The sequence below is a fragment of the Homo sapiens genome, chromosome 12, assembly GCF_000001405.40.
Source record: "Homo sapiens chromosome 12, GRCh38.p14 Primary Assembly".
Classification (NCBI taxonomy): Eukaryota; Metazoa; Chordata; class Mammalia; order Primates; family Hominidae; genus Homo; species Homo sapiens.
Window position 1 is genome coordinate 120,818,268 of NC_000012.12, and position 17,787 is coordinate 120,836,054.

Sequence of the window (17,787 nt, forward strand, 5' to 3'; positions counted from 1 at the left end):
AAAACAGTCTTGAAGACTTTGTCAACTGATGTATCAGTATAGGCCAGCTGTTGAGTTGAAATATTTTATATATTCATTATGAAGACCACTAATTCTTTAACTACATTCCTGCAAGCCTTTACCTTAATAGACAAAGAGTTACCAGAAATGTCTCTCATATACAAGACTAAACTCTAAACCCTAAGATTTTTAGAACCATGCTGGATTTTAGTAACTGCTCTACAGTCAAACATCTATTTCTAGCTACTTTACCAGCAAGTGCTTATAACACATATCCTGCTAAAAATCATGCCAAACTGAGACACAGAGAGTACTGTTCTATAACGTGTTCTATGTGTCAGCCTTCCAGCTATACAATGAAAGCATTCTTGTCCACCCCAAAACCAAGCAACTACTATTCTAACACTGCACAGACATTGCCTTAGACCAGCACTTCTCTAACTTTGTGGTTGCAGAACAATTTACACTCTTAAAATTGAGGACTCCCAAAGAGCTTTAGCACATGTGGGTTAGTGATATTTACCGTATTAAATTAAAACTGAGAAAAAGTTAAAATATTATTTATACACAATAAAACCATTACATGTTAACATAAATAACATTTTTTAAAGGGCAAATATCTATTTTCCAAAACAAAACAGAACAAAAAAATTAAGCGAGACAAGGAACATTCTTCACATGTTTGCAAACCTCTTTAATGTCTAGCTTAAATGGAAGATAGCTGGATTCTCATATCGGCTTCTGCATTCCATCTACTGTCATATGTTGTTTGAACTGAACTCCATGGGGAAAAAAATCCAGCTTTACACAGATGGATAGTTGGAAAAGAAGGAGTACTTCATAGCCTTTTCAGATAACTATCAATATTCTTCTTTGATACTACACTAAAATTCAACAAGTGGTAATTTCTTAAAGGTTTACTGCAATGTGGAATTTGAAACTATCTCAATGGATTTTTTTGAATTTTACTATATTACATTAAAATCCACTGGACTATCCTGAACTTTGTGTGAATCTTTTACCCATGGATGATTTTGTAACATCATGCATTGGTAATTTGGAAGATACTGATTTGCTGAGTTATGCCGCTCTTCCAGATGTTGTCTCTTTTCATTATACAATATCTGAAAAATCATATTGTTAGTACCATTCTTGGGGCTTATGGTAGCAAATACAAATTTTCAAAAATTCTATTTTCACTTGAAAGCTCAAATTTTATCATTGATAAAAACACTTTTTTTCCCTTTAAGTGACAGGCTCACTTGATTCGTTTTTGAGAAACTATCTGCCAAATATGCCCAAAAGTCATTCTTTCAAGTAAAAATGGTATTCCAATTTTAAACAAATCTAGTTCAGTTAGCATCTCAAATGACTGCACAAGTGGTTTCCTCAAGATAACCAATGGTACTTTGGAATACAGCAGAAGTGCTTTGTGGAAATTTTCCATTTTATCATTAAAAATTTCCATTTTATCACTTAGTGTACTCAAGGGTTAAAACTTAACAAAAGAAACTTTTACTGCTTCGTCAAGAACATTCTAAGTGTAAATGGCATTTCAGAAGATAAGCTGGGTGCCTGGTGATGGAGAACACCATGATTACCAGGACCGCCTGGTGCCACTGCCTTGATTCAGGTGAGGGCGCACCAGAGGTTTTACCCACCATTGCTTTGCCACCATGAGAAAAAAGGTGCGAAAATGAAAAAGACAAGTAATGTTAGTAGTACTATGAAAACCGTATGACCCTATGGACCCCATGACAGGGTCTCAGGAATCTCCCATGGTCCATGAGCCACATTTCGGGAATTGCTGCCTTCTACCTTTACCCATAAGCTCTGGCTATGCAAACTGCTAACACCTTCTCACATGCAATTCTTACAGATCACAAAACACCAAAGGTTGTTAGAATTTTTTTGCTATCCAAAATTTCAAATTTAAAAATTATATGCAAAAAAACTTGTATTCCATGCTTACAGAAATGTTCATTTTTCCCTTTATGGAAATATGTTGAAATAGGACTTAATTTGTATCTTTCTCTAAATTTTTTTTTTTTTTTTTTTTTTTTGTGAGACAAGAGTCTCGCTCTGTCGCCCAGGCTGGAGTGCAATGGCACAACCTTGGCTCACTGCAAGCTCCGCCTCCCAGGTTCACGCCATTCTCCTGCCTCAGCCTCCTGAGTAGCTGGGACTACAGGCGCCTGCCACCACATCCGGCTAATTTTTTCTATTTTTTAGTAGAGACGGGGTTTCACCGTGTTAGCCAGGATGGTCTCGATCTCCTGACCTTGTGATCTGCCCGCCTCGGCCTCCCAAAGTGCTGGGATTACAGGCGTGAGCCACTGTGTCCGGCCTATCTAAAAATATTAGTCTAACATTATAATGTTGGAGATCATTGTTTTCCACATTTCCCCATATTTTAAAGGAAAAAACCAAATATGTATTGCAAGCTTAATAACAGAATAGGTATGTTATGAAATAAAAATTTAATACATTAAATTTAACCATTTACGTGCAAGGTACAAGTAGTAAATAAAATAGTTACTTAAGGCTGGGCGCAGTGGCTCACGCCTGTAATCCCAACACTCTGGGAGGCTGAGGCAGGAGGATTGCTTGAGCCTAGTAGTTCAAGACCAACCTGAAAAACATATGGAGATCCCACCTCCACAAAAATATCAAAATATTATCCCTGCATTATCACAAAATATTTCATGGAAAGACATATATGAAATATACTATATGTTAATATTTTATATTTTACCAAGACTAATACAATGAAAAAATGATTACTTCCATCAGAGATACAAAATCTGCTGACTGAGCAAATTCATATGAAAGAAAGGTATTAGTCTTCAAGGCAGTAAAGATGATCTGGAGTAATTTTGTTTTCAAATACATCTTATTGCCTAGGATAGATAAGAAAGGATTTATTGCCGGGGGCGGGGAGAGGGATTGAAACAGAAAGAAGACCCCACATTAAAGGCTTCGATGGCAATATGCTTCAACTTTTTCCTATGAATTATCCTCTAAGACAGGTCCTCACATCATAGTTTCCAAAGCATGCGCTTTTGATTGTGACTTGCGCACACAACCAGCAACACACTGTGGTTCCTGTGTTCAACACTGCAGCCGGAAACAGCCCTGGGCTGGCTGCAGCAAACATAAGGCAAGGGAAAGAAATTAGGCAACTGGTTTCCTCGGACAAAGCCAATAGGTACAAGCTGGATAAAGCAGTTTTGCATTTTTATTTGGCCAAGGGACTTATTTACAGAAAAAAAAAATTATAATACAGCTTTTGAAGGTATCTTTGTATCATGATCCAAGACTGCTTTAGAACTTGTACAAAATAAATCTCCTTAAAAACTTGCAAAAATCTATGTTAACATGCTGGTTGAAATTACTATTTCATAAGAAAAATGCTACTGGATATCTAAATACCCTCTCAGGATATGTGCTCATAAAACTTACTAAAGCCTAGGTATTTGCCCCAAATAACTGAAAGCAGGGACTCAAACATACTTGTACACCAATTTTCACAATGGCTGGGCCGTGAATAATGGGTTGGGTTGGGTGGAAGTAACCCAAGTGTCTATCGGTGAATGAATGGATAAATAAATTGTGGTACAGCCATCCAATCAAATATTATTCATCCTTAAAAAAGAAGAAAATTCTGATACATGCTACAACATAAATCAACTTCAAAAACATGATGCTATGTGAAATAAACCAGAAAAAAGAGACAAATATTGTTATGACTCAACTTATATGACAGACCTAGATTAGGCAAATTCATAGAAAAAGAAAGCAGAATAGCGGATACCAGGACTGGAGAGAAAGGGAATGGGGAGTTTTTGTTTGATGCATACAGAGTTTCTGTTTGGGATGATGAAAAAGGTCTGGAAATGAATAGTGGTGACTGTTGCACAAAACATAAGTGAACGTACTTAATGTTACTGAACTGTACACTTAGAAAAAGTTCAATGGTAAATTTCAAATTGTATGTTATGTATATTTTACAATAACAACTTTTATAAAACTTAAGGAAAATTTTAAAAACTGCTCTTAACCTCTAAAAGAACTGGTTTTTACTGTATCTGTTTCATTAAAAGATTATTCCCTGCCATTTAATGCTGATAATAGTTTTAGAAATGATTCTAGAAACGAAGTCTTAAAAGCATCCCTACAATTCCAAAATCTAACTTCAAGAAGAAAATTTCCAGTGACTTTTAAAAATGAATGCTACAGATTGACATTTAGTTATTTCCTGGGGGCTAACCTCTCCTAGTGACAAATTCTGTGGACAAGCAAACAGGAGCCTAAGAGTTTAAATCACAGTTCATCCCTTACTTCTATCAGGACAAACTAGGGTTTCTGTCTGGGATGATGAAAAAATTGAAGAAGGAAAGTCTCTTGAGCCCCAGAGCAAGGAGGGATTAGACAGACTGAATTTCAGTAGCAAATCTCCAATGACCCTGGGGGCACACTTCTACCTGCATATACCACGGTCACCTCAAATTCAACACATCTAAAAATCAAACCAAATCTCTCCATCATCTTGCAGTATCTAATGTCTGTTACAAGCTCCAACTAGAATAAATACCTCTGGTCACTGTTCTGTCCTATCTTATGTATCACCACATGCATGAGGACTCTGCTAGGTACTAGCACTCCATGATAAAGACTCAGCCCCTACCACCCACCAAGAATTGCCTAACAGGGAGACAAAAAGAAGTAAACAGGTTGCCAAATTAAACAGACAGGTGTAGGAACTCAGCATGGAGGCCTATGTGACAGTGCGACCTGCTGGGAGTTCACAAAGTAGTCAAGCAGTTCAGTTGGGCTAGAGAGGAGAGAGCAAGAGTGAGTGATCATGCGTGCAAGAGACAAAAAGCAAGAGCTAGAGCATATTCCCACAAAGGTGTCTGTGAGAGACGGAGAGTGTGTGTGTGGGGGTGGGGGGTGGGGGGGCGGCGGCGGTGGCGGGGAGGACAGAGAACAAAAGGAAGAAAGGCCAGTTCACATAGGGCTACCAAAGCTAGGGATCTGGCTGTATTTGCCGTCTTCACTGGTATCTCCTTGTCACACTGTGCCTTCTATCCCCAGCACTCCATGGAATTTGCTCTCCCCAAGATCATCAACAATCTTGTTGTTACTTAATCTAGTAACACTTCAGTCAATATCTTACTTGATATCCCCGCTCCCCTTGCAGGATCTGACAACAGTAGCCACTTCCTTTTCTTGAAACAATTTTATCCCAGCTCCCACGACATCCTACTGGATTTCTTCCCTGCTCTCTGGCTCCGTATTTTCTCCTTCTCCTCTGCCCATCAGGGCTCTGTCATCAGTTCTCTTTACTTCTTACTCCACATCTCATCTCTGGGTGATACTGTCTACTCTCATGCCTTTGGTTATCATCTATATAGGCTGATGATTCCCTTTTCCAAGTTGTAACAGCAATCTTTTACTGAGTCATGTGCCCAGCACTGTCCTAAGAGCTTCCCATTATGATCCCCATTTTGTACAGATGAAAAAACAGAAACATAGTGGGGTGAATTAACCTATTTGTTTTACTATAGTCATTGTGTTTTATATAATTCACTCTATCACAAAGACATTTTTTTTTTTTTGAGACGGAGTCTCACTCTGTCGCCCAGGCTGGAGTGCAGTGGCGCAATCTCAGCTCACTGCAAGCTCCGCCTCCCGGGTTCACACCATTCTCCTGCCTCAGCCTCCCAAGTAGCTGGGACTACAGGCGCCCGCCACCAAGCCCAGCTAATTTTTTCTATTTTTAGTAGAGATGGGGTTTCACGGTGTTAGCCAGGATGGTCTCGATCTCCTGACCTTGTGATTTGCCCGCCTCAGCCTCCCAAAGTGCTAGGATTATAGGCGTGAGCCACTGCACCCAGCCCACAAAGAAATTTAAAAGAATGGCACGAAGAATTGTTAGGAAGAAGCAAGCTGAAGACCTACGTATCACATAAAACCACTTTTATTAAAAATGGGACTATTTCACATTTCTGTATTATTTGAGTTTTTAAAATAACACTAAAATTTTTTTTTAATGGAACACAGGATTCTGGTGGAAACGTTAGCAAAAAAGACAAAAAAGTGTTAGTGATGTCTGATTTGGCTATATTTTTCACTTATACTAAATACTAAAAGCTTGTGTTCTTCAGTCGGATATAGAATTTAACAAGTAATACTACAGAGTAAGTTCTATAGCAGAATTTAATTTTCAAAGAGCCCAATTTAAATACAATGGTTTTCTTAAACTTTTATTTTTTCTGAGACAAGGTCTCACTCTGTCACCCAGGCCGGAGTGTAGTGGCATGATCACGGCTCACTGCAGCCTTGACCTCCTTGGGCTCAGGTGATCCTCTCATGTCAGCCTCCTAAGTAGCTGGGGAGACAGGCGCATGCCACCACATCAGGCTAATTTTTTTTGTTTGCAATTTTTGTAGAGATGGGGTTTTGCCATATTACCCAAGCTGGTCTTGAACTCCTAGACTCAAGTGATCCTTCAGCATTGGCCTCCCAACTTGCTGGGATTACAAGCGTGAAGCTGCCTGGCCTTCTTAAACTTTTGACACTGTTTTTCACACAGAAAAGAGTAACAAACTTCCATGCCCTATTCATTTGAAAAGACAATTTAAAAACACTTAAGTAGCTACTGTAACAACATATTTCTAGAAAGCTTAACTGCAGATGGAATGGAACAAATGTTAAAGGGTAAACATGCCCCCCACCCCCAGTCCCTTTCTCATAGTGTGCCCTTCCTTATATGACACTACCTTAAGTCTACTGGATAGTCATTATATTTATAACACAAATGGAATCTTAATTACTAACACCTTAAACTCATTTAAAAAAAAAGGACAGATCCAAACTTACATAATGTCAGTTTGATCCAGAACAATGTTCACAAATTTTAATTCATTAAATCCAAAATAATAAAGTTTTACTAAATTAATAATTGAAAAACTATATAATCCAGCCAATTATTTAGTTTGAAAAAACAAGCCTGACACACTAAAAAGGAAATTATGGCAAAAGCAGCCCCAATTCAGTTAACTGAATTTGTTATCAAACAGACCTGATGTATTCAGAGAAAAATTTTTCTGTGAGTTAGGAAACACTAAAGAGCATCTGTTTATTGAGCACCTGAAAGGAGTTTGGCTTGGTAGAGAGAAAAGAGAGTGGAGGTGAGAAAACAAATCCCAAAAGAATAAAGGTCATGATCTTAACTCTCTAGTAACAGGGCACATGTACACAGGAATATCAACAGGAGCAAATATCGCTTGTCTTACGGAAGAATGGAATTCCAGAGAGACTCACTGCAAGATCAGCTTCTGTTTACAGAGGGGTTAAATTATGGTGTACTTGAAGTCAAGGTTTGTTAGCAGGATTTTAGCTGCTGGAGTTTTAACGTCACCTGAAAACATTGCTTTTATTCAACTAGTAGAGTAAAAATCATAAGAGTCTATAATATTTTTGGAAAATCAGTCAGGCAGAAATATTCAGTGTAGATAAATTGGGCAGAAGAGACTAGAATCAAGGAGACCAAGTAAGATTCTTATGATAATCTAAGCATGAGGTGATCAAGTCTAGGTTAGTACGAAGTGGAAAGAGGAGGTGCTATAGTCACAAACTATATTTTGAAAGAAGAACTAATGGGACCTCTCTTTGTCCAGGGTGTCTATCTCTGGTGACACACTCACTGGTCAAGAGAATGAAAGCAGGGCAAGAGTTAGGACGGGCGCAGTGGCTCACGCCTGTAATCCCAGCACTTTGGGAGGCTGAGACAGGAGGATTACCTGAGGTTGGGAGTTCGAGACCAGCCTGACCAACATGGAGAAACCCTGTCTCTACTAAAAATACAAAATTAGCCGGGCATGGTGGCACATGTCTGTAATCCCCGCTACTCAGGAGGCTGAGGAAGGAGAATCGCTTGAACCTGGGAGGCAGAGGTGGCGGTGAGCTGAGATTGCACCATTGCACTCCAGCCTGGGCAACAAGATTGAAACTGTCTCCAAAAAAAAAAAAAAAAAAAGAAAGCAGGGCAAGAGTCAAAATTTCCATGGGTTATGACAAACTCAAACCTAGACCTACCTGCCTTGCCCTCTAACAGTGCTGGATACCTGACTGGGCATCGAAATCCCAATTTAGGCACTCATGTATGTGGCAGAGACAGTTAGAGGTCACAACTTAAGGCAGAACCCTTGACACGGATCACCTCCACCTGGCCTAAAGCTTACCTAACAGCAAGCCCAAACAGCACCACCAAACAGTGCCAGGGGAAACCTGTTCAGTGTTACACAGCCTAGTAAGTGATAAGAGTCTCTGCAAAATCGCTCCATAAAGCAGACACTCAGCTGTCTCTGGCCTTAGCAATAAGAAGAATATTTAATACCCTCGTTTTTCAGAAGTATATACAAAGGATCAATGACTAAGGTCTTTGATCTTTAGCTTCTCTAAAAAGATTCACATTAAATAATGTCTTGGAGTTTTCACCTAAGTTTATACCTGGAGTCCTGCTGTCCAGGACTCCAGGAGGGGAGAAAACACCAATACAATCTACTGTTTGAAACTAAAATAACAATGAGATGCCCTGGGTGATTTTATTTATGAATTTTCTAATTAATCCTGACAAAATTGAGACATTCATAAAATGAGTGTCAAAATTTAAAAGTCATATACTGGAAGAGGTTATTTTTATTTGGTAGCTGTAAAGGGTGCTGGACTCTGTTCTCCAGTTGGTGATTTCTACCAACCCCGAGAATGTTTTCAGAGGAAACTTGACTTAGCAGGAGTCAAATTCTTGGTTAGAGTTTAAATCACAGTATTTTGAAAGTGTGGGTTTTAAAGATTTTTCCAAACTATGTTTTCCTCTATATAGGGGGGCCACAAACAGCCAAACAAAAGTTATCTGAACTTCTTTATATAATAAACATGAGAAATACCCTTAACAGGGAAGTAGTTCTTTAAAAACTATCCAAGAAGCCAGACAAAACTTATTTGAAAGGCCTATGAGACCAAGAAATATAACTGCTGCTATAATAACAGGAACAATAATAATAATAATAATAATAATAATATAATAATATAATAATAATAACAATAATAATAATAATACTTTGGGGGCTCTTACTGAGTTGCTAGACTTCATACAAGCTGTTTACATTTTCCTCATTTCATCTTTTCAACTTCTCCCTGAGGAACATACTTCCACTATCAGCTTTAGAGATGAGGATACTGAAGCAGAGAGATGAACTAGTTTGTCCAAGGTCAAACAGCTGCACAGCTTCAAGGAAGAAGAACTAGCATTCCCATCCAGGCAGCCTGGTTCTAGATCCAGAGGTCATGCTTTAAACCATTTTACAACACTCCCTAGCTCAACCTGGCTTGTGCCCCCCAGCCTCAGCTGGGATCATTAAGTTGTATCATGAATCAAAACGCACCCTCCAAGAGCTAATGGTAAACACCACACATGGACCATTTTCCAGACTGGCCCATAAAAACAAGTCTCAAATAATTTTTTTTTTTTTGAGACAAGTCTCACTCTGTTGCCCAGGCTGGAGTGCAGTGGTGCCATCTTGGCTCACTGCATCCTCCGCCTCCCAGGTTCAAGTGATTCTCCTGCCTCAGCCTCCCGAGGAGCTGGGACTACAGGTGCACACCACCACACCTAGCTAATTTTTGTATTTTTAGTAGAGATGGGGTTTTGCCATGTTGGCCAGGCTGGTCTCCAACTCCTGACCTCAGGTGATCTGCCTGCCTCAGCCTCCCAAAGTGTTGGGATTACAGGCATGAGCCACCACGTCTGGCCTAAGTCTCAAATAATTTAAAAGAACTGATATTATACGAAATATGCTCTCCAACTACAATTTAAATTAGAAATCACCCAAAGGAAAATCTGTGAAAATCCCCAAATATGTGGAAATTAAACACACTCCTAAATAACCCATGGGTCAAATAAGAGATCACATGGAAAATTAGAAAATATCTTGAACTGAATGAGGATGAAAACAAAACATATCAAAATATGTGGAAGGCAGCTAAAGCAATGTTTATACAGGCAAATCTACAGCATTAAGTGATTATACTGGAAAATAAAAAAAGGTTCAAAAATCAAAGTTTTTGCCTTAAAAAAAACTAGAAAAAAAAGAGCAAATTAAACTCAAATCAAATAGAAGGAAGGAAGTAATACAGAGCAGAAATCAATGAGACTGAAAACTACAAAATTCCTTTCTGCAGAAATCCATCGGCTAGTTCCAAAATTTGTATGAAAGCAAAGGAAGTAGAATAGCTAAAACAATCTTGGGGAAAAAAAGTTGGAGGATTCACATTAACTGATTTAAACACTTACTATAAAACTACAGTATTTATAGTGTGAATTGGTGAGGAATACACGTACTGTTCAATGGAACATAGATTCCAGAAATTCACAAATTTATAACCAATGAATTTCTAACAAAAGTTCCAAGAGGAAAGAAAGTCTTTTTTGTTTGTGTTAGAGATGGAGTCTTGCTCTGTTGCCTAGGCTGGGGTGCAGTGGCGTGATCACAGCTCACTACAGCTTCGAACTCCTGGGCTCAAGAGATCCTCTGCCTCAGCCTCCCGAGTTGCTGGGACTACAGGTGTGTGCTACCACTTCCGGCTAAGTTTTTTATTTTTATTTCTTGTAGAGATGGGGGTCTCTCTATGTTGCCCAGGCTGGTCATGAGCTCCTGGGCTCAAGTGATCCTCCTGCCTCAAGCCTTCCAAAGTTCTGGGATTAGAGGCATGAGTTATTGGGCCCAGACTAGGAATAGTCTTTTCAACAAACAGTGTTTGAACAACTGGATGTAAATATGCAAAACAAACAAAAAGCCTCACACTGTATGCAAAAACAGATCATAAGCTTAAATGTGAAACTGAAATCCATAAAGCTTCTAGAAGAAAACAGAAAAATCTTTGTGACATTGGGTTAGGTTAAAAATTTCTTAAAACACAGAACAGATCATAAAAGAAAATTTGATAGGTCAGACCTTATCAAAATAAAAGCTGCTCTTTGGCTGGGTACGGTAGCTCACGCCTGTAATCCCAGCACTTTGGGAGGCCACGGCAGGCGGATCACTTGAGGTCAGGAGTTTGAGACCAGCCTGGCAGACGTGGTGAAACCCCGTCTCTACTAAAAATACAAAAATTAGCCCGGCATGATGGTATATACCTGCAGTCCCAGCTACTCTGGAGACTGAGGCAGGGGAATCGCTTGGACCTAGGGGGCAGGGGTTGCAGTGAGCTGAGATTGCACCACTGTACTCCAGCCTGGGTGACAGAGGGAGACTCTGCCTCAAAAAAGAAAAAAAACAAAACAAAACTGCTCTTTGAAAGACACTGGTCAAGAAAATGAAAACACAAGACATAGACCAGGAGAAAATTCTGCAAAATACATATCAAATAAAGAACTGAGGCTGGGTGTGGTGGCTCACACCTGCAATCCCAGTACTTTGGGAGGCCGAGGTGGGCGGATCACCTGTGGACGGGAGTTTGAGCCAGCCTGGCCACCATGGTAAAACCCTGTTTCTACTAAAAATATAAAAATGAGCCAGCTGTGGTGGCAGGCATCTGTAATCTCAGCTTCTTGGGAGGCTGAGACAGGAGAATCACTTGAATGCGCGAGATAGAGGTCGCAGTGAGCTGAGATCGCACCATTGCACTCCAGGCTGGGTGACAAGAGCAAAACTCCATCTCAAAAAAAAAAAAAAAGAAGAGTAAATTTCACTGTTCACGAACTACACCTTTAAAAATCTGACTTTAGTATCCCAGTGAAAAGACAGTTAAGATGGTGGCTGGTACTGGGGTGAAACTCATGGTAGCTGTGAGAAGTTATCTGGTCTTAGATACATTAATATTTGGAAGATGTATCTACAGGATTTCCTGACAGAGTGAACACAGAGCATGAGTGAAAAAGAAGCCAAAGATGACTACGACCAAGCAACTGGGAGAATGAAACACCATCAGCTGAAACGAGATGGAATAAGGGAGAGGGGAGGGGGAAGGAGGGGGGAGGGGGAAGGGAGGGGTGGGGGGGAGGTGGAAAGGAGGGGGGAGGGGGAAGGGGTGAGGGGGAAGGGGAGGGGGGAAGAAGGGGGAGGGGGAAGGGGAGGGGGAAGAAGGGGGAGGGGGAAGGGGAGGGGGAAGAAGGGGGAGGGGGAAGGGGAGGGGGGAAGAAGGGGGAGGGGGAAGGGGAGGGGGGAAGAAGGGGAGGGGGAGGGGTGGGGAGGGGGAGAGCAGAGGGGAGGGGAGGGGAGGGGGAGGGGTGGGGGAGGGGGGGAAGGAGAGAGAGAGAGAGAGAGAGAGAGAAGGTGTACATGCATATGTTGGGGAGAGCAAGGGTGGTGAGGAATTCAGTTCTAAGCTTCCAGTCTGGTATAAAACAGAGATAATCCCATTACTTATCTCATAGTTTTGTTGTTTCACTTTGGGTAAACATCACTGCATTCCTTCATTTCACTTAGAAGTCCTATCAGGCTGACTTTTTTGTGACCCTAGAAGGAAGCCCAGCCATCACTTAGTTCTGCTTACTGTAGCTTGATGGATGTGATGGTTAATTTTATGTATCAATTTGACTGAGCTAAAGGATGCCCAGCTACGTGGTTATACATTATTTCTGTTTGCTGCCTATTTCTGTGTGTGAGAGTGTTTCTGGAGGGGATCAGCACTGAAGTGGGAACTGAGTTCAGCAGATGATCCTCCCCAGTGTGGGAGGGCATCATCTAATCCACCAAGGGCCTGAACAGAACAAAAAGGCGGAGGAAGGGCAAATTCTCTCTCTCTCTCTCTCTCCTTGAGGTGAAACATTCAACTTCGGTCCTTAGACATTCCCACTCTTGATTCCTGGACCTTCAGACTCAGATCAGGAGTTACACCATCGGCTCTCCTGGCTCTCAGGCCTTTGGACTTGGACTCAGTTTCACCACTGGCTTTCCTGGTTCTTTAGCTTGCAGATGGTGGTGCTTCACAGCCTCCATCTCTGCCCGAGCCAATTCCTATATAAATCTCTTCTTACATACACATCATATATACCCTATTGGTTCTATTTCTCTGGAGAACCCTAATACAATGGGTCCTCCAGCACTCACCCCAAATTAAGCATGTTTCCTTTTACAAAAGGTAGAAATGTCCACTCTTCATAAGTCCTTTAATCAGGTCCCATTCAAACTCCTCTAAAATAAATTTCTCCAAAATTCTATTTCTATATTCCACTTTGCATGCTCACTGTTTATGCCACTGTTTATGTGAAGCAGAGGTTAGGATACCTTGGGAATTCATGTCTCAGCCACTTGTATCTCTAATACAGCTTTCCCTTCCTACTGTGGAGTTTATCATTTCCACTAATAGGTGTGTGCTTAATAAAAACAAAACATGAATTGCTTCTCTTCTCCCATCTCTTTAAGCCATCTGTTCCCCTGTAGTTCTGTAGTTCCTTATCCTTTTTGCAGAGGCTCTCCATTTTCTCCTTTACACTGTCATTTTAATCTGGGAGTTGAGAGAAAGAATCTGATAATTGCCACCCCCTCACACCACTACCACCAAAGAAGCCACTACGAATTCCCACTGAAAGCCTTTTGTTCTAAAGGGAGAGCCAGTCCTGTGCCTACTGCAGTACTGTCACCTAGAAACCAAAATTCTCAGCTGACATAACATTTCAGGACTAATCTAATTCCTAAGAACTACTCAGCACAGTTCAAAATATAAAAAACCAGCTACAGCTCTTGCCTCTTTATCACCAATCTGAAATCTCAAACTGTAAATTCATAATAGCAATTGTATCTGCTTAGTTTTATCGAGCTTTTCCTATGTGTGGGGTACTGTGCTAAATAAGTGCTTTAACTGAATCAGCTCATTTAATACTCAAAATAACCCTGTGACAACATTTTCATTATTATTACTCATAAAAACAGGACACCTTGGAGATAAGCAAGAAGCAACATTTAGACTGTGTACCACAGAGTAGGACATTTAATTAATCCCCCAAGAATTGTGAGATTGGTTTTGCCTTATATTATTATTTTCTGACTCTAATATTAAAAAAGAGAAAGAAAAATACAGGTGTGCCACCTCTTAAAGAAAATGAGCTATTTGGGGCCAGGCACGGTGGCTCACACCTGTAATCCCAGCACTTTGGGAGGCCAAGGTGGGCGGATCACCTGAGGTCGGGAGTTCAAGACCAGCCAGACCAACATGAAGAAACCCCATCTCTACTAAAAATGCAAAAAATTAGCCAGGTGTAGTGGCGCATGCCTGTAATCCCAGCTACTCGGGAGGCTGAGGCAGGAGAATCACTTGAACCCGGAGGTTGCAGTGAGCTGAGATCACACCATTGCACTCCGGCCTGGGGAACAAGAACGAAACTCCGTCTCAAAAAAAAAAAAGCTATTTGGAAATGAAAGTGAAATTCTTTTTATTTTACTTGGAAATCCTTATATCCAAGGAAGAAACCCAAGATTGCCCTCACAGCAGGTCCAAAGCTCACCATACCATATAGGAGGCCTGTTTCCATACTGTAGTTTAATATTAGAGATTTGAGTTGCACAGGAAGACTCTTTACAAACAACCAGTGTGTTAGACAAATGTTTTACTGAGCACTTCCAAAGCATAAGAGACTATTTTAGGCACCACATCAGCACTATGGGGATCTGGTGATAACTCACTGCTTCTGAGTCAAGATTACAATCTAAGTAATAAGATGTGCATAAAATAACTTTAAATGCACTACAAAGAAATCTACATTTCAATAAAGGAACATAAGCACTATAGGAGTTCAGAGGAAGAAGAGATTGCTTCCATCGGAGAAGGTCAAATTAGCCCCTTCTGAAGAGGTAAAATTCGAATTATTCTTGAAGAATAAGTAGGATCTGAAAATGTGAGATCCATTAGGGAGAATAAGATTCAAAAGCAAAGGGTACAATAAGAACGATGGCATAATGACAAAGAAGTGTGGGGCATGTGTTAAGTACTTGGAGCTTACTTGGAGCATGGGTACCAGAAAGGGAACAGAGGAAAACAGGGTTGGCCAAAGAGGTTAAATGTGACTGTGGCAGGCCTTAAAAAGGAGACAGCCTCGATAGGAAACTAATATAATATTCTAGGAAGAACGTCTGAATCAAGGCAGACACCAGAAACATTTTAACAAATAGGATGGAGAGCATTTGGGAATGACTTAGTATGAGGAGCAAGAGACATGTAGGAATGAAGCTGGGTAAATGAGAGGATGGTAGTAGGTTAATAAAAACATGAAACAAGCCAGGCGCAGTGGCTCATGCCTATAATTCCAGCCCTCTGGGAAGCTGAAGTGGGAGGATCACTTGAGGCCAGGAGTTGGGAGACCAGCCTGGGCAATATAGTGAGACTCCATCTCTCCAAAAAAAAAAAAAGAAAAAAAAAAAAAGGAAAAAGAGAAAAAAAGGAGGAAAAACAGATGCATACAACTAGGGAGAAAAAAGAGTTGTTGAGTTTTAAAGTGTGTGTGTGTGTGTGTGTGTGTGTGTGTGTGTGTGTGTGTTGAGTTTCAAGTGACAGAGGAATATTTAAGTGGTGAGATCCATTTTTAATTTATATAACTGAAGTGGGCTCTAAATGCGGGGCTACAGCTGAAAACTGAGATCTCATCTTGACACATACACATGAAGCTGACTGTGAGTCTGCACAGTACTGACCTTTGAGAATAAGCATGCATACAGGGTGACACATTTTCACATGTGCTCTACTTTAATCCTTATGAAGCAACCTTGTGAGAGAAATATTATGATGTCCTGAAATTATAGTATTTGGCCTGTAAGTTCTTCCTAGCCAACGAGTTCACAGTTAGAACCAGTTTTACGTTAACCACATCTGCTGAATACAGAAAAAAGGAAACCACTACAGATGGAATTTTAAGTCTTCAGTTTATAACAGACAATCGAGAGAGAATGAGAATGTTTCAGTTCATTTTTACTCCTTGTAGCTGCCTGACCCTTCAACACAATCATGTGCTAACCAGTTCCAAGCCAACTATGCCCCTGGTTAACAAATGGGCAATGGAGTGGTGAAATGTGATCGGTGGTCCATGAAGTCTTTTTGGTTGTCTCCAACAGGGGTTGGAGTGGGCTCTGAGTAGGGGTGGTTGGTGGGGACTCTGCCCTCTGAAGTACCCTTTGAGAGACTGCCCAGAAGAGAGATAGGCCATGAACAGCTTCCCCGTAAACACCTTCATAATCGGGAGGTGGGAAGCAGAGGAGAACCATGGATGTTGCCAACCAAGGAGATGTTAGAAATCTTTGCTAAAACAAATGAAGGCATTTCCTCTCCCGTCGCCATACTCCTTCTGCAATCTTACACTCATTCTCCTTTTCTTTCACAGTGAACAGAGATCAGCTGTGCTATTTTCACCATTAGTATGAAAACCAGTAAATGAAGGTCCTATACTACTCTAGTTTAACCAGAGCTAAAAATAACCTTTTGTGTTTCCCTTTCTGTACTCTTTTCATTAACAATAAAACAAGTGTTCATAACTGTGTGCACACAGTAGGTAAAATGTGCCAAAACTATACAATAATTAATCTTTTAAATCATCACATGGAATCTGATAACATCTTATAAAAACTAACCCTCCAACTAATAACTGAAACACACATTTCTGAACTATTAATACTTTAGAGATGGAAGAAAAACAGTACAAATCTATTTTATAGGGGTGAAAAATGAGGTTCAGGCAGCTTAGTTTGTTGTAACATTCTTGCCTCATTTTGAAACTCTTCTATGTTAATCACCTTGGTATTATATTACCTCTCTGCATACATCTTATTTGTCCTGTTAGACCACAGTCTCCTGGAAAACAGGGACCCTGTTCCAACTTCCTTTTAATGATGTCTAACAATATGCTCCACAGATCGACAGTGCATACTAAATGTCTGTAAAATCAGTTATCACTCAGAAAGGAAGGCAGAAGGAAGCTCTTAGCCAAATAACATATAATTCTAAACTCAGAGTGAAAAATTCATTTTATTTTTGAAACCACACCTACCCTTAACCATCCTCATGATTTATGAAATACTCTCTAAGCATGTAGCCCTTGCTAAACAGTAGTTCTTTCGTTATCTCTCCTTCAAGAAATCTAGGCAAGCTTGTTCGTTAGTCATAGATGTTATACATACAGTTATAGATGATCAAGAATTCTGACGATGAAGTCTAAGATCTATCCTCTGACCCACTGTGCTGTCACTCTTACAACAAAACGAAGGAAGCTTAACATTTTATAGTCAGAAAAATCTTGAGAAAATGTTTTACTGGTTTCATTTCCTTGATTGAAAAACTCTTCTCCCTCTTAAAAGATCTCTTCTATGTTGATAGTATCTTGAAAAACAATATCCTTATGCCTTCATGTAAAAAGCTTAATGTAAAGACAGAAATCTGTGTGGTCTCTCCAAGTCGGTATTACAGAATTCTGGCACTACATATACAAGCCCCTGCTATTTTAGGATCACAAGAAACAGCTAGCCTGGGAAAATGAGAGAGAGGTGAACCATTCCTAACATCTTAACAGCCACTTCAAGCAACCACTTGTTCTGCAAATACCACAGGCCCCTTGAGAATCCTTAGATTTGGTTGGTAACTTAAATTCTGGCAACTTCCCTTGCAACAGAACTGTTCTATCTGAAATGGGCATTAGCAACAGAAAACTATGTAACCATATCACATTCTCCTTTGTACTTTTTATGAAATTCAAATGAGTTCACATTTCAAAATTGAAGTAAGGTAGCATTTACAACA

At 40.2% G+C, this 17,787-nt stretch overlaps 1 protein-coding gene across 2 annotated transcripts in view, besides 1 other annotated feature; it reads right to left on the reverse strand.

Moving 5' to 3' along the window:
• Positions 1–17,787, reverse strand: part of SPPL3 (signal peptide peptidase like 3) — a 141,849-nt gene that overhangs the window by 55,758 nt on the left and 68,304 nt on the right. The gene's annotated exons all lie outside the window — the stretch shown is intronic.
• Positions 4,621–4,690: an enhancer, noted in NCBI's record as "active region_7150". NCBI's record gives its function as "activates an Ori minimal core promoter by ATAC-STARR-seq in GM12878 lymphoblastoid cells {active_cell/tissue: GM12878}" and the evidence as "EXISTENCE:reporter gene assay evidence [ECO:0000049][PMID:35858748]".